The following is an 18,258-nucleotide window of genomic DNA, read 5'->3' as shown; positions in this document are numbered from 1 at the left end:
ACTTGAGGTTCCCAGGGGAAGCCCTGGTACAGGGAAACAAAAATAGCTATTGATGTTTAGTTTAAAGGGATTTCTGTATTTTGGCTTTCCTTGTCTTTTTTTCCCCATGTACCTCTTTCCTCCCGCCCTGACTGCAGCCTCCCTGAGGTCTCCCTGGATTTGATCTACTGACCTGGCTGCTGAGGCTGGATTTGAAATCTTCTGAAGGGTTCTTAACATGCCAGAGTTAACAGGCCTGCCTGGGCCAGCTGCTGTCTTGGAGCTGCACAAACTCCACGGATTGTTTGGCAATAAAAATCAGCTATAAAAGTGTGAAAAATACCAGAGACCCAAATGGAAGAGGGAAGAGACAGGGGAATGGTCCTTACACCCTTTTAGTGGACATCTGATTTATTTTTTAAATGGAAAAGCCACTTTTATAGCTACTGTAGTTCAATTATCTCTAATTTTACACATTTTATGCAAATTATCAGCATCTTAATTGCAAATGAGAAGGAAACTTTTTTTTTAAAGCAGAACAACAAGGTATAATTTCGTATTTTCTTTTCAATTTTTAATCCTATGCTTGGTTCAGCACCATTAAACTTTTAAAACTCTTTTTACACAGTTGTTTAAAATTATGTGTAATTTAAAGCACACTCACATGTTCACAAACACCCATAGCCTTAAACAAGTAGCTAATTTTGTTCCCAGATCTCATTCTCCCTTTTGGAGAAGATACTTTGATGTTCTTCCACATACAATTTCAAAAGACCACAAGGGGATATACTCAAAAGATTTCACAAGGAACTTGGTGTCATGTCTTACAAATTCAGCACATTGGAACAGAGTCTAAGCATCAAGAAACCCAGTTGCAAGGTCTGGTTTTTTGTTTATTTGTTTTTGTTTTGTTTTTTTGCCAAAGTGCCCAGATTTCTAGCAGCAGTATGCTGGTAGACACTCGACAACTGACCCTCGGTGTGGAGATGCAGGGGGCATAATTTGTATATGATGTTTGCCGATTTCCATGGTGTAAACACTCATGCCATGGCTGAGTTCAAGCTGCCAAGGCTGTATCATTCAATGCGAAAGTGAAAAAGATGTGCTGAATCAGCTGGCGAGCTGAGCCCCTGTGGAGCCAGATCTAGCACAACTCTACTCCCAGAAATTCAGACATGCTTTGAGGATTTCAACTAACTTTACTCTGATTTGGGGTAACCAGAGATAAAAAGCCAATAGAATACAAATTTCCCATATTGAGTAAAAATTTAAGATTTTATAGACTGACAAAGGAAGTTTAGCATAATACTTACACATCTAGAATCAGGAGTTCTACTGAAGAATCCAGCAATTGCCAGCCACATAACCTGTGCTAATTCTTCATCATAGAGTCGGCTTCCTTATGTTTAAAATAGTAATAAAGTTTGCTCTGCTGTGAGCTTATCTTCTAATAGTGTGTCCGGAATTGGCGGGTTCTTGGTCTCACTGACTTCAAGAGGCTCGGGCGGCGCGTAGCCCACGGCGGGGAGGAGGCTCGGGCATGGCGGGCTGCAGGTCCCGAGCCCTGCCCTGCGGGGAGGCAGCTGACGCCCAGCGAGAATTCGAGCGCCGCGCGCGAGGGCCGGCACTGCTGGGGAACCCCGCGCACCCTTCGCAACTGCTGGCCCGGGTGCTAAGCCCCTCACTCCCCGGGGCCAGCGGCGCCGGCCAGCCGCTCCGAGGGCGGGGCCCGCCGAGCCCGCGCTCACCCGGAACTTGCGCTAGCCCGCGAGCGCCGCGCGCAGCCGCGGTTCCTACCCGCGCCTCTCCCTCCACACCTCCTCGCAAGCAGAGGGAGCCGGCTCCGGCCTCTCTGTCTCCCAGAGAGGGGCTCCCACAGTGCAGGGGCGGGCTGAAGGGCTCCTCACCGGCCAGAGTGGCACAGAGTGGCCTCGAGGCCGAGGAGGGACCGAGAGCGAGCGAGGGCTGCTAGCATATTGCCACTTCTCAATAGCAAAAGAGCTTGTAGGTGAGCACTTGGTACATTGAAAGGATGTGCAAATAAAAGCAAAATGTCTTCCTGGTTTATTCAACAATTATTGGTTTAGTCAACAAAATGTCACTATAGGAGATACAAAGATGTATATATCACAATACGTGAGTTATTTTTCAATAGATTATAATTAGTGATTTTCTGAAAAAATTCCACCTTGGCCATTTGTGGGAAACATAAGTATTTTTCTGTGTCCTTAATCTTGAAAAAAATCAGTCAGGAAATTAGGAAATGAGGAAAAAGGGTTATCACTCTGATATGGATTAAAGTTTAATTTTAATATGTGCTAATTTCTCATGAAAAGAACAAAAAGAGCAGAATTGCCATAATTAATACTCCCTGGGAAGAATGAGTAGTGCCCACAAAAGAATTCAAAGATGGTGATGACATTAAGTGAGCTCCAAGCACTTATCACATCCACCCCTCACTACAAACAATATTCCGCTGGAACATTGCTCAATGGCCCACTCAAACAGTTCATAGTCCCAACACTTCCCAGTAGAGATTCTCCTTTTTTTTTCCCAATCATATTTCATCCTAGCACATCAAGCAAAGGAAACAGTCATTTACCTCCAACAAAATCTAGACTCCTCTGGAAACAGAAGCAAATGAGAACAGAAATAAAGACCCTTGTGTTAGCATTTCTCATTAGACTCTCTGCGTAACAGTAACCTGGCTTGCTCATACTAATGTAGGACTCGGGGCAGCTGGTCTAAGACTTATTTGCAGAAAGGAAAATGAAGAGTACATATGAGTGCCTGACTTTTACTACTTCTCTTTTCTCCTTCCCCTTTGTGACTTGGTGCTGGTTTGCAATTTGTGGTTTTTTTGTTGTTGTTGTTTTGTTTTTTTTGTTTGTTTGTTTGTTTTTTTTTTTTGAGACGGAGTCTCGCTCTGTCGCCCAGGCTGGAGTGCAGTGGCGGGATCTCGGCTCACTGCAAGCTCCGCCTCCCGGGTTCACGCCATTCTCCTGCCTCAGCCTCCCAAGTAGCTGGGACTACAGGCACCCGCCACTACGCCCGGCTAATTTTTTGTATTTTTTTTTTAGTAGAGACGGGGTTTCACCGTTTTAGCCGGGATGGTCTCGATCTCCTGACCTCGTGATCCGCCCGCCTCGGCCTCCCAAAGTGCTGGGATTACAGGCGTGAGCCACCGCGCCCTGCCGCAATTTGTGTTTTTACCACTGTAGTTAATTCTGAGACACAGTTGTCAATTCATAGCCTCCTTAGTAATGGAAGTGCTTCTAAATAAAATTGCGTAAAGCTTAACACTTTGATGGAGAGAATTCCTACCAGTCCTTTCATCCTGTATTTAGCTGGTTACCCTTCACTGAAGTTAATTTGTGGCATAATTAATGAAATAAGCTTCTCTTCTGACTTGCTTAAATAGTTATGCCAGGTGACTTGGAAAGTATCTTTCTATTTACAAAGAAGCACTGCTCCCTTAAAGGTCTGGGACCTTTCTGCATAACCCCTGGCAGCCAAAATATTAAACCTTGAGCACGTGACTGAGACCCGACAGGCTGAACAATACACATGCCTCCTAATGCATGTCAACAATTTTACTATCTGGTACAAATGGAAACTTGCTGAATTTATTCCCTAAAATGCTTTTTATGCTTTTCTTGGTTCTTGCTTAGTGGTAATGTATTTAAATGTCTGGAAGAAATATTCAAAAAAATGAAACACATAACTTTAGTTGAGATGCCTACATTTCAAACCAAATACTGGCAGATCAGTGAGTATCTGGGCTAATACTATCCTTATTTGATTAGGATAATCCAGCGAGACACTGACTCATGCCTTCAGATACTGCCTTTTAACCAATCAATATTTTTAGGGTTATGGTTTTCAGAAGGCAGGTGATAGTTTTGGAGATGATAACATCCCAAGCTGCTGCTGACATTGAGATGCATATTTAACATGTTCCTGGGATGACAGAATACAGCAGTGTTGGAATCTCCCCCTAGAAATACACATGCACACACACATACACACACACACACACACACACACACACACAGCCACTAACCTTTAAATTCTTGAAGCCCCAGTACAGATTTAGCAAATTGCCTCTTATTAATGTCAATGAACATTTGAAAATGTAAGAAGAATTGGGACTGAATACTTTTCCCTTGGATGGTCCTGTCTTTTCAGCGTCGAGAAACTCCTGAGAAGGAAAGGGAAGAAGCAGCTCTCCACTCAAAGATCAATACTGGGGACAGGAGAAGGGGACAGTGAGTATAGCTAAAGCAATGACCTTTATCAGCACATGTCACTACCTACACAGAGCGGCAGTTCACATGAGAACAGGGGAAGGTGGGAAAACAACGGGAAGATATTAGACTTGGATTTTGTAGAATGCCATTAAAATATATCTATTTTAATTTCACATGACTAAAATTATCAGCTGGCTTTGCATTAATTTTGCCTTGTCTGAAATTAGTTGTCAGACTTCTGTTTATAGCCTAATTACCTTTTTCCTGAAAAAAAAAGGAGTTAAAAGTAATAACAATAAATTTGTAATGCAAAAGCTGCAAGTTTACATATTAGGACAGGTTAGGGATGGTTCTAGGAACAGGATTTGGAAATTGTTTAAACAAATGTGAACAGCTTTCTATTTTTCTGAAGACTAGAATTTTCCTAGTTCTCTCTGTATCATCCAGTGACATGATTATTTCTTGTGACCACAGACACTTGAATGTGAGTAGTGAACAGGTAGCTGCAGTTTGGTGTCATCTATTTTATTTAGCTCTTTTATCAAACCAGCTAGGTAATTAAAGGTTCATACTCAGGGCCACAAATTGGCAAATATTTTTGTTGCAGGCCAGATAGCAAATACTTTTGTCTTTTGGTCCATATAATTTCCATCACAGCTACTCAACCCTGCCATGTGTGCAAAAACAGCTACAGATGATGTGCAAACAAATGAGTGTGACTATGTTCTGATAAAGCTTTATTTACAAAAACAGGCAGTGGGGTAGATTTGGCTCACAGGCCATCATTTGTCAACCCCTGCTCAGGACAATTCAACCAACGGACTGTGGAAAGAAAGTAATGTATGCCCAGCCACAGCAGAGAGTAAGTGCTCAACAAATATATTTTGAATAAAAATTAGTATTAATTAAACTAAAGCACACACACACACACATTTTACTCAACACTAGAAAAATGAAGCTACCTCGAAATCAGAATCTATGATTTAAAAAAATTAGTGACTTCTTGGAATCAACAAAACTAAGTAGCAAATGAACATGAAGGAGACACAGATTTAGCAAACTGGCTCTCATTAATGTCAATGAGCATTTAAAGCTAATGTTCATGGAAGCTAAGTAAAGGCAAACTGCTCTTCACAATCAACTGGCCGCAAAGGATGCCACTATATTATACAATACCATATAAAAACTGAGATTTACAGTTATGCCCTTCTGCCATCAAAATAAGAGAATGTTGGAGAAAATGTTGGCTACGTCAGGGAGATGTGAAATGTTTTTTGTTGGTTGGTTGGTTGATTGGTTTTTTGAGATGGAGTCTTGCTCTGTTGCCCAGGCTGGAGTGCAGTGGCGCAATTTGGGCTCACCACAACCTCTGCCTCATGGGTTCAAGCGATTCTCCTGCTTCAGCCTCCTAAGTAGCTGGGACTACAGGTACGTGCCACTATGCCCAGCTAATTTTTTTATTTTTATTTTTAGTAGAGACGGAGTTTCACTATGTTGGCCAGGCTGGTCTCAAACTGACCTCATGATCTGCCCACCTCGGCCTCCCAAAGTGCTGGGATTACAGGCATGAACCATCGCACCTGGCCCAAAATGTATTTATTTTTTTAAGGTACACATTGAAATGAGAAGTTTTAAAATAATTATCTCTCTTGAAAATATGAGCTTTATTTATCTCATAAATAAGCTTCAGATTTGAGGGTAACATTCTGGATCTCGGTCCAAGCACTGCTTCTTGCCCTATAGCCAGAATCTTCTCATCCAGTGACAAGGGCAGGGCCAGATAATCCATGGTACACAGACCCTGATTCTAAAATTCAGTGAGTCCGATGCTAGCTTCCACTGTCTGCTTTTTAGTTAGAGAATTCCTGACTTTTTCTATTATGTTTATTACCTAAAGGTGAAGTGTTGGATTGCTTGTTTTTTTCCTCCCCTACTAAGCAGGTTTTCACTCCACTTCCCACATCCCACCCCAGACCTCTCACAAAAAGAGTCTCATCTGATATGTGAATGCAGCTTATCTCCCCATAGGTAGCCAGGAACAGGGTGCACAGTCAAGGCAACCCCAAAAATGGCCTCTCTCCCGGCCGCGCCTGCAAAGTCGTCCTGAGCGTCCTGAACGTTCCTCAGCTGGAGGGGCTTTTCCCTACTCAGTGTCTGGACCATTGCCAAGAAGATCTGTCCAGCTGTAAGCCTGATTTTATATAGTTATTTTCACTTATTTTTTATTTTGCAAAATGTAAACGAATCTGTTTAGCTAGGAAATCACGTCCCTTGAAAGTGATTATAACCTAATTTGACATGCAGTATTTGTATACTTATTCTAGTGTTATGATGCATTTACTGTGTTTACATAAATACAGATTTCTGTATAATTACCACAAGATAATGTAAAGAGTTAATCATATGAAATCCCCCAAAATCTCATTTGAGTGATTTTTTTTTTTTAATTTGAAAGTAAATTTTCCTTTAGAAACAAATTGGGCCCATTTCCAAAATATTCTATACATCTTCTTTGAGAGGCTCACAAAAACATCTACTTTATCCATTCTTACTGATCATTAATTGATATGGTCTAATTGCCCTTACACCTAATACGTGCCAAATAGCAGCAAAGATAGCATAGACATGAGTCTTGCCTTCAAGGGTGTTACATGTAAACAAGTCTGGAAGGGCTTCATGGGGAAAGGTGGAACTCTGCCTTGAACTTATCGGCTGATCTTTGATAATCACTATGGTTCCTTCATGATCTATACAATGAAAACTGAATGTAAGAAAAGATTTTTATAGAAGAAATATCAAAAAGAGAGGCAACTAGCATGAAGGAAGAACTATACAGATTTTAAAACTTACCTCTTTTTATTTTATTGACAAATGAAAGAATTTCCCTCAAATTGGAATACTTTACTAAAACTGGGAAGGAGTAATCACATAAAGAACAACCCAATAGTTCTATACTCATACACCAACTGAAGCTATACTAGTAGATAGCAATATACAAGTATATCAATATACTACTTTTTTATCTTTCTGAAGGTAAATCAGTGTTTCTCTCTGCACTTATCTGCTTCCATTCATTCAGTTTTTTGTTTGTTTTTGTGACAGAGTCTTGCTCTGTTGTTCAGACTGGCATGCAGTGGCACAATCTCGGCTCACTGCAAACTCCCCCTCCTGGGTTCAAGTGATTCTTGTGTCTCAGCCTCCCCAGTAGCTGGGATTACAGGCATTTGCCACCACACCCGGCTGATTTTTGTATTTTCAGTAGAGACTGGGTTTCACCATGTTGCCTAGGCTGGTCTCAAACTCCTGACCTCAAGTGATCTGCCCACCCCTTAGCCTCCCAAAGTGCTGGGATTACGGGCATGAGCCACTTTGCCCGGCCTCATTCTGGTTTTGTTGTGTGCTTTGTTCTGTCTTGGAATATTTGAGGGTTAAGAAATTAGGTCAAAAGTCTGCCAGCGTACACCAAGCTGTGTGTATAGTGAAAGGAGGGCTGGCAAAATGTCTACCACGGCATCTGCTTTAGAAAGGTGAAGCTATCACTGCAGGTGTACACATCACTAATGCCATCCTTTCTTATCACTGGGTGCTGGAAACTCAGGTAAACCAGGGAGGAGAAAGTATCTTCATTTCTCCCAAGAGTGTTATTTCTCCATCATCATGTTCAAAGCCTTCTCTCAATTCTTTGAGTTCTTCTCTTTATCTTGTTTCCTAAAAGAAAAATGACATTTAGACATAGCTATGAAGTAATGTCCCCAGTAAGACAGATTTTTAAATGAATGAATTCCAAACAATTTCTTTTTAAAAATCATCAGAACAAAAGACAGATATTCAGAAATAACATGGGTTACAAGAATTGCTTATGGTCTTAAAAAAAACAAAGTCACTATTTGTTACTAATATTCATGACTATCATTTAATACTCTATACGTTTCCATGAAATCTAATTCAAGTCAATACTTCAATGACTTGTTTTCAATCAATGTACACTGACTAAAGTACCTTAGCATGTCCAGTGGTTCACAAGTTCATTTCTTCATATCAAAAGAAGGAATAAAAAGTACCCATCATTTGTCAGTGACATCCTGTAGAACTAAAATAGTGGTATGATACCACCATTTGTAGAAGTATTAGTTATTTCTACAACTAAATGAATTTTAACCATCAATTAGGGAATACTTAAAAGGTAACACCCTGCAGGTAAGCTGACTAAACATGTATACCCTACTTTCTGTTTCAAGCCCAAGTTCCACTTTGTTCTTCCAATCTAGATTCAGGATAGGGTCATCATGGTGAAGAATTCTAATTATGTGATTTCGATCCTAGTTCTTCTACTCAGTCCCGTGGTCCTTTGAGCCAGTTGTCAAACCTTCCTGTGCTTTAGTTTCACTGACTGCAAAATTGGAATAATAAACAGTTCCCATTTTTTGTAAGGGTTTATGTAAGTTATTCCCAGAGGACACATAGAGCATTGCCTGGCACATGGTAAAATCACAAGAAATGCTTGCTAGTTGTACTGGAAGCACATGAGCCTTGGATGGCCTTGATTTACACTCACCACTATATTTTCCTCATTTATTTATTCAGTCTATTTCCTAAATTCTAATCAATGTCAATGGGAAATTAAATTAATGATAAATTATCCATTTAAGTGTATGTGTTCTCCTCCTACCTCCATTATCTCCATTACATTTTTGTCTTCCATTAATGTGGCTAATGGTGAAGTGACTATGTTCATGACTACCTTATTTATCTGCCTATTTGATGTTCCTAGTGGGAGACACTAGACACTAAGAATGACACTAACTATAATACCAATAGTATAGGAAACTGCCTGATTACAAAGTTTCCTTTTATTGCTTCCCTCTCATCTTCAGCCTACTTTCCTTTCTAACTGACCCAACTAACCCAACCCAGGCTACCAAAGATGAGCTCATGTGAAATGCAAAATGTCCAAGGTCCACCCTTGCTCCGCTTTTGCCAATCAGTGCTTATAAAACTCCTAGGGCAAGTTTCCTTATTTTTGACATGAGTTCTTTGTCATAATCATCTCAGGAAAAGGAATAATTTCTCCTGCTGCATCTATAGCATTTTCACAGTGTTACATCCAAACTGACTTGATACAGTCTCAAGGGGATGACAGGATGTTTCTGTGGAAAGTCTTCTCAGAGGTGGGGATTTTGTTAGAGAGCCACATGCCCCACTTTTGAGGCAATTACCCCAGTTTTCACATTCTCTCTCTCCTGTGTTTCAGAGAACAGATCGAACGTTCTCTTCCTCCAGGTCCCTGTTGATTGCCTGAACTGTGAGAGTGCTGCTTGAAATGACAAGGGAATGGGGTAGAATTGGAGTCATCCAAATAAAAAACATGTGGTAGGAGGCTCACTATTCAATAATACATATTCTATGAGGCCTCCCTGAGGGTCGTCAGGTTTTCAGCAGAATATTAGTTGGTTACTTAACACTCTCTATTACCTTCACTTAAAGACTTTAAATCAGGAAGCTTTGCTTAATTTTACTAAATAAGATACCAGAAAATGGAATCCCCCTTATTTTCAATTGATAGGATGAGGAAAACTCTCCTACAACAATGCTCTTTCTACTCTGGAAGGAGATGCTGTATCATGAATGTGCATGTTTGGTCTGCTTAGTAAAGTATTCATAGAATCATATAAAGAACATACTCTTCAGGTTTTTCAGTTGGCAGACATGAGAAATAGTTTTATTTTTGTTTTGTTTTAATTTTCTCTGATCTCTAAAATGTATCATTTTGCATGTGAGAAACCCAAACAAAAGACAAAAATATCAGAAGTGTCTTGCTTCAAATTATATTGGTTTGTAAATAAGTTTAGGATGGTTTATTGAAAACAGGATTAAAATTTCTCTGTCTCACCTACTGCCAACACAACTTGCTTCTGCTGTGGCACATCTGAAGGAAAAAATAAATGTTAGATGTGAAGTTTATAAAAAATGACACGGAGAAAAACAATGCTCTTAATAAATAATATATTATTATAAGAGAAACAGAGTGATTGAGTAATGGCACTCTAATGATTTTTCCCCAACAGCTAGCACACCTGTTCTGGCATTGTTTTTGTACCGATTTGTTTTCTTTGCTCAGCAGAACTACTTACTGTGAGAACAGTCGTCATGAAGTCGTTTACAAAGGTGACTAAACTACCTTCTGCTAGGGTGTCAAACTGCCCCAAATTGGAAGATCAAATAAAATTCTGAATATGATGCCTGGGTGTTGGAGTGAGCACGTGTTGTGAAACACTACTGAATGGGGAGCTCAGACTGTCTTTGAGAAATCTTTACCAAGGTCCCAAGGGCCATTTTACAGATTGCCTTCCTAAATTTTACAGTGTAAACAGCCCAGACTGGAATGAATCAACATGTGTAAAGAACTGTGAGGCAGCTCCTCTCTCTCCCTGGATCTCAACGATTGTTACAAAGATGAAGGTTCCAGTAATTCCTGCAGCTCTGAATTGTCATTTGACCTATGCCAAATGTCATCAGTTTCTGGATTACCATTTATTTCTATCACATGAAAACAAATCCACTGTCTTTATCATAGAGATTAAATATAGGCAAGAGATATAAACAGAGTTGGAAATGTATAAAGGAACAGTGATTAATATTAAAAACAATTTTGGGTATTATTTGGTAAAACATCAGTACTAATAAGTATATAAGAGCAGGTTTGGGGGTTGTAAATGCATTTCTTATACTTGTTATCTAATCTATATGCCATAATCGAATGTATATTGTCATCTTGATGCCATTCATCCTTGAAGCACTGACATTTGCTATTCTGGAAAAGGCCATTTCACAGAGTTCTCTATTATAGTGCCTGAACTTCTGTTTCTGAATGAGATTCAATGGGATTTCTAGAGGAGGGGGAATAGAAGAACACCCATTTCTACTTTTCTGTCTTCAAAGTTAAGACGTAGCAATGATTACACATTCTTTTTAAGGGAATAGGCTCAAATTTAAGGCAATGGAAATCAGTTGTAAAGAGTAGTCAATGATAATCTGTAATCTCAATTCCTGTTCAAAAACCACTTAGCATAATTTGGCCTACATTTACTAAGCAAAAATTAGACACTGACCAGAATCAGAGGGAGAAACTAGTAGTGTAGGGGTTGACACTGTGGAATGGTATTGAATGGGTCATTCTGATTTGCCAGGCCTTCTCACAACAGTGTCAAGGCCTTGGAGTCACAAGACACTGAGTTCTTATACAGCCTTAGCTGTGACAGTATCTTCTGAAACTTCTTTCGGCTATATCTTGAGAGGTGAGTCAAGTGTCTATTTGGAGGCAAGACCTTAGTTGTGTGTTTATTTTGTGTCTTGTAGTTTGAGTTAGGAAAAATGTCAGAACAAACACAATGGCATTTGCAAATGAGTTAGCTGGTTTGTGGATGCTTTGCCCGGCATGGAATGTCTATGTACATTCATTCTTAGTCTCAGGAGCTGTACTTGAAGCGTCTGCAAATGGTAAATTACCATCTGATGTGTAACACCACGGTTTATCATCTTACACTTGATTAAGTCACACAGGATATTGTTTATAATAAGCTACAGATCTGTGTGGTTTAATTGGATTACCTTGTAAAGCACTTAGGTCAGGGTTTGTTGCATAGTAAGCTCTCAATAAAATTAGACTCTGGGTAATTGTCATGGAACTATCTTAGAGAAAAATGGCTTTAAAAGGCCATCACATCCAGCCTCCTGCCTCTGTGTGGTAAGTATCATACAGTGAATTACTTTCTCCAACTCTTCCTTCTCTTATCTTATACATTTACATGTCTATCCTGGCTTGGCCATATGACTTTCTTTGGTCAATGGGACATTACAGGAATGTTGGAGAGCAGAGCTGAAATATGCTTGTGGAATTGGCCTGCTATCTTGCACTTCTACCATTGCCATGAGAAGATATTCACCAGATAGTCACTCTCCCTTCAGCTTAGGCCTCAGAATGCATATGGCTGTCCCAGCCACCTCATGCACACCATTTTTGTGGCAATGGCTGATAGATATGTAAATATAAACTATTATTTGCCATTAATGTGTGAGGCATCCAAAACCCTAAAGGGTAAGTGTATTAATTTTCTAGAGCTGCCATAACAAAGTATCATCCACTGAAGGGCTTAAGCAATATAAATTTATTTTCTCACAATTGTGCAGTCTAGAAGGCCAAGATCAAAGTATTGGAAGGGTTGGTTTGTTCTGAGGTCCATGTGGTAAAGATCTATCCCAGGAAACTCTCCTTGACTTACAGATAGTTATCTTCTCTCTGTGCCTTCAAAAGGTCCTCCCTCCCTGCATTTATCTGTGTCCTGATTTTCTCTTCTTTTAAGGACACTGGTCATACTGGATTAGGGCCCACCCTAGTGACTTCATTTTATCTCGTTAAAGACTCTATCTCCAAATACAGTCATATTTTGAGGTACAGCAGGTTAGGACTTCAACACATGGACTTTGAGGAGATGAAATTCGGTCCATAAAAGTAAGTGATGTACAAGTTTTCTACCAGTACAGGGAAATAAAACCCACTTTGTCTGCTACCTTTCAATTTCAATCTTGGGTTAGCAATTATTTCAAGGGCCCTAGAATTCACTCTTCTCCACAAGTTAATATCTGTGTGTTTTAGCAACCTAATACTACATGCCTCGAAATTTAGGCCTGAGCACGGGGTAGCACTTTTCAGTGAGCAGTGGCTGAGCATATCTCTCTTATGATGCCATTTACATTTCAGGAACTGTAGGGCATTGCATTCTGGCTCTGAGGGATCATTCTGGACCTACCACTTTTGTCATCAATAAAACAGCAACAGACATACCATTAAAGTAAGTTGTCTAAATTGAAAAGGAATTTATTTGTCAATTAATCAGCATGTAACTAGGCAAATGTGTATGAGAATGTTCCTGTATGGTGGAACCCTCAAATGGTAAAGAGAAAACTTTCAAGTAATACTAGAAAATGCCTTCAGACAAATAAAGTCTGTTGTAAGTACTGTGCCTGACTTGGAATGGATGACTTGGAGAAGTTTCCATGTGCGCAGTTCATCTTTGGCCAACCTGACTTATCAAGTTGGTCAGGAACCCTGCCTTCATCATGGGTCTTCCAAGCTCTGCCACCTCAATCATGTTTTCTGATATTTTATAACCACTCCCATTATCACTTGTTACCCTAGTAGCTTTTCCTGCAGTTTTTTTTTTTCCTTTCTATGGTCTCTAGGACTCCTCTGTGACTTCATTAAAAAAAACATTTCCATTAAGCAAAACATATTACACAAAGAAAGAAAGTGAGAAAGAGAAAGAAAAAGAAAGAAAAGAGAGGAGAGAGAGAAAGAGAAGAAAGAGAAAGAAAGAAAAAGAAACAAAGAAAAAAGAAAGAGAGAAAGAAATGAAGGAAGAAGGAAGAAGGAAGGAAGGAATCAAAATTCTTCACCTGACTTTGAAAATCTCTCCAAAATGGAAGATTCTTTCATGTCACTTCCCTCATCAACACTAGTCTCTCATATAAGCCCTTCTCTGCACATGGGCCTGGATTTTTGCTAAATTCATGCACCTCTTAATGTTATACAATTCACTGCTTTAATACATATTGTTTCCCTATGTAAAGTGACCTCTCTCATCCTCTCCACCTGTGCTAATATTATTCTGTGTCAAGGCACAGCCTAAGAGGCTTCTAAACCCTTCCTGTTCACCCAGCTGACATGCTCACTCTCCACCCCCTACTTCCAACCGTTATAGCCTTTATCTCTCTCGGTCTGTATCATGCATTATAACATAAAGTTATTTATCTTTTTAACAAATACATTTTCTCTCCCAAGTGATATTATTAGTTCTTCACAATCAAGAACTCATCTTTTCACTGATATCATTAACAATGAAAACAGTGTTACGTATGCAGCAGATTGCTCTTTAAAAATACATTGAATAAGATTTATTGAATGAATCAATGGCATCAACTCAATATATGTTTATTAATTGAATAATGAAATATGGAAGAAACAAAGTGAGTACGTATTGAATAAGTGAATCTCTGAAATCAAGCCTACAGACTGCCCAGATGTTCTCACCCGTGGGGAAAGTTCCACAGTTCCAAATCACAGTTGGATGATATTTACACGGCTTAATACCATCTTTACTGAATTATCTCAAGTTTTCACTGATATAAGAAACAAATGTTTTGTCATGCAGCCTAATTTATATTTCTGGGCATATATGAGCATTCTATTCATAATATAGCTATTTATAGTCATTTGTTTTGCTTTAATACAATTTAACTCAGAAGTACTGAATAGAGGGCATTCAAGTTTTTGATGGTTCAGTGAAGTCAAACATATTTCAGAAGCAAATCTGGGCCACAGGGCCTTATTTTGGACATAAAACAGTGAGAGTATAGAAAGGTTAAATAATATGCCCTAAGATGCACAGCTAATTGGCAAAAAGCTCTAGTCTAGAATAGAGATTCCGTCAGTCCCTATACCATATTCTTCACTACCTCCTGCTACTACTATTGGTGAAATAATTAAAAGACAATCTGCAATATGACCATTTTCTTCAAAATAATATTTTAATGCTATTCTCTGCACATCGACTATTCACATGCTGTAGATTATAGCATAATCTATATTATGCTGTGTATAGAAGAAGTTTAATTTCCAGCACCATAAGGGAGTCTTTGTAGTGGTTTCCCTCAACTAAGACAAGATAGAAATTGGTATAAATGTGTGATCCAGGACCAGGCAAGCACAGGACACCCAAGTTGAGCTAAAACTAGGGAAGGGAAAACAACCACACAAATGCAGAAGTGGCCAAGCTGAAAATGAACCACAATCACCCCATATTTGCTTTGAAATTTAAGATCCTTAAGTGGATATCCCTCCTTTAAGTGGATATCCCTCCTTTAAGTGGAAATCCCTCCTTTAAGTGGAAAGCCTCCATATGAAGCTTTTGTTCATACAATGTGCTATTAACTAAATATTTGTAGAACCCTAAAATTCATATGTTGAAGCCCTAATCCTCAATGTGATGGTATTTGAAAGCAGGGGCTTTGGGAGATAATTAAGTTTAGACAAGGTCAAGAGGGTGGGGCTCTTATAATGAGCTTAATACCCTATAAAAAGAAGAAGATATACACAATCTCTTTCTATTTCTCTTTTTCTCTCTCCCTCCACAGGAAGGCTCCAAAGAAAGGCCACATGAGGACGTAAGAAGAGATGGCATCTGCAAGTCAGGAATAGACTCTCACTAAGAACCAAATGCACTGGCACCTTGATCTTGGGCTTTCAAGCCTCCAGAACTGTGAGAAATACGTGTCTGTTGTTTAACTCACTCAATTTATGGTATTTTGTTATAACAGTACAGAAAGACTAAGATAGTAACTGGTACCAAGAAAGTGGGGTGCTGCTATAACAAATGCCTAGAACTGTGGAAATGGCTTTGGAACTGGGTAATGGGTAGAGACTGAAAGAGTTTTTAAGATGCAAGCTAGAAAAAGCTAAGATTCCCATAAAGGGCACTTAGGGATGATTCTAATGAGACTTAGAAAGAAAAGAGGAGAGCTGCAGAGACCGCGTCTATCTTCTTGGGGGATATCTAAATAATTATGAATGGAATGTTGGCATAAATATGGACAATAATGGCCATTTTGGTAAAGGGCATTCAAGTTGTTTGGAAAAACTTAGGTAGAAATGAGAAACGTTATTGGAAACTGGAGGGAAGGCAACTTTTGTTTTTAAAAAAATAATACTTGGCTGAATTGCATTTGTGTTCTAAAGTTTTGAGGAAGGTAGAACTTCCAAGCAATGAAATGAGATATTTAGCTGAGAATATTTCCAAGAGAAGTGTCGAAGGAGTGGCCCAGTTCCTCCTGACTACTTATAGTAAAATGCAAGAAGACAGAAATAAATTGAAGAAGGAATTGTTAAGCAAAGATAAACCAGAACTTAAAGATTAGAAAATTCTCAGCCCATCTATATTGTAGAGAACGCTAAGCATGTGGTGGAGCAACGACTTGATAAGAGGATTAATATGGGTAGGAATCATGGACCTAATCAGCCACCCCAGCAGGAACGATGCTAATTTGAATGTAAGGGGACAGAGATGAGACTAAATGAAGGAAAGCTTTCACACTTTTTACATTCTACAGGACTAGACCAGAGAGCTATTTGGCTGTCAACATTATTCTTCAGGGAAATAGAAGCATGACCCTGAAGGTGATTCAGAAATCATCAGAGCTGCTTCCTTGCTTTCAAAGAAGCAGGAAGGGCAAATGCCTTCACTTCAACAGCGAGATTGCAGCATCCTAGAGCAGTAAAGGGGGGCCCACCAAGAGATTTTGGAGCACGACTCTTCACAAACCCCACCTGGCAGAACCACCCACCCCAATGAGTCTGGAAGGCAGGACTGCTGCTCCAGTTGGTCCAGTAGGCAGGAAATCATTTTAAAGAGGATTATTACTGAGCCTTAAGATTTCACGGAATTTGCCTTGCTAAGTTTTGGACTTGCTTGGGATCCATCATTCTTTCTTCGTTCAGATTTCTCCCTTTTTGAAGGGAAATGTCTATCCTATGCATGTCCCATCATTGTATTTTAGAAACACAGACTTTTTCTGGTTTCACAGGATCACAGATAGAAAGGAATTTTGCTTCAGGATAAGTGTATTTCTAGTTTCATCTATGTCTTATTTAGATAATATTTAGATAAAACTTTGGACTTTAGAGTTGATGCTGGATCAAGAGTTCTGGGGCAATTTGGATGGAATAAATGTATTTTGTATGCAGGAAGGACATTAATTTGGGGGATCACGGGTATACTATTATGGACTGAATATTTGTATTCCTCAAAATGTTGAAGTGTTGAAAACCTAATCCCCAGTGTGATGACATTTAGAGATGGAGCATTTAGGAGGCAATAGGGTTAAATTCGGTTATGAAGGTGGGGCCTTCATGATTGGATTAACACCCTTATAAAAAGAAGGAGACACAAAATCTGTCTCTGTCTCTCTTTCTCTCTCTCCTCTTTCTCTTTCTTCAAATGCATGCACCAAGGAAAGATCACATGAAGACATAATGAGAACACTGTATCTACAAATCAGGAAGAGGACCCTTACCAAGAACTGAATCCACTGGCACTTTGATCTTGGATTTTGCAGCCTCCAGAACTGTGAAAAATAAATGTGCACTGTCTAAGCCATCCAGTCTATGGTATTTTGTTATAGCAGGCTGAGAAAACTAAGAGACTAAGACACCCATTCAATACACCTTGACTCACCTGACTATAAACTCATCTCAGCTCTGTGTTAAGAGGAGGGCTAGGCCAGGAGTGATGGCTCACACCTGTAACCCCAGCACATCAGGAGACCAAGCACATTGGGAGGCCGAGGAGGGAGGATCACTTGAGCTCAAGAGTTCAAGACCAGCCTGGGTATTATAGCAAGACCTCCTCTCTACTAAAGTCAAAAAAATTAGCCAGGCATGATGGTGTGCACCTGCAGTCCCAGCTACTCTGAGGGCTGAGGCAGGAGGATTGCTTGAGACTGGGATATGGAGGGTGCAGTGAGCTATAATAGTGCCACTGTACTCCAGTCTGGGTGACAGAGAAAGACCCCGTCTCAAAAAAACATATAAATAATTAATTTTTAATTTAAAGTAAGAGGCTTAATAGCCTGGTTCTGCGACGTCACATATGCACCCATTAACAGTAGCCTTCTGGTGACAATGACTTAATCTACTAGCACAGGTAGGCAATAGAGATAAAAGCTTAGCTAATTAACAAAAAAATTGATTATTCACAATAGTTCAAATATGGAAAGAACTTGAGTGTTCATTGACAAATGAATGTTAAAAAATCTGTGTATACGTATATATACTTTATAAATAAATATGTATAATAGAATATATATGTTTCATATATATATATATACAGCCATATATGTGTGTGTGTGTGTGTGTGGTGTGTGTGTGTATATATATGTATATGTATATATATGTATATGTATATATTTCCAAGAGTAA

General features: G+C 39.4%; 1 long non-coding RNA gene across 1 annotated transcript in view; it reads right to left on the bottom strand.

Annotated features, from left to right (window-relative positions):
- Positions 1–4,949: 4,949 nt before the first annotated feature.
- The window catches only part of LINC01122 (long intergenic non-protein coding RNA 1122), a 543,014-nt gene continuing 529,705 nt past the window's right edge, over positions 4,950–18,258 (bottom strand). Inside the window, exons 13-14 of the long non-coding RNA NR_033873.1 lie at positions 10,120–10,155; positions 4,950–7,937 (exon numbers count right to left, since the gene is read on the bottom strand). This is a non-coding gene — a long non-coding RNA (long intergenic non-protein coding RNA 1122). The remainder of the gene's footprint in view (positions 7,938–10,119; positions 10,156–18,258) is intronic.

Source organism: Homo sapiens, chromosome 2, assembly GCF_000001405.40.
Source record: "Homo sapiens chromosome 2, GRCh38.p14 Primary Assembly".
NCBI lineage: Eukaryota > Metazoa > Chordata > Mammalia > Primates > Hominidae > Homo > Homo sapiens.
This window is presented reverse-complemented; position numbering and strand designations above follow the sequence as displayed.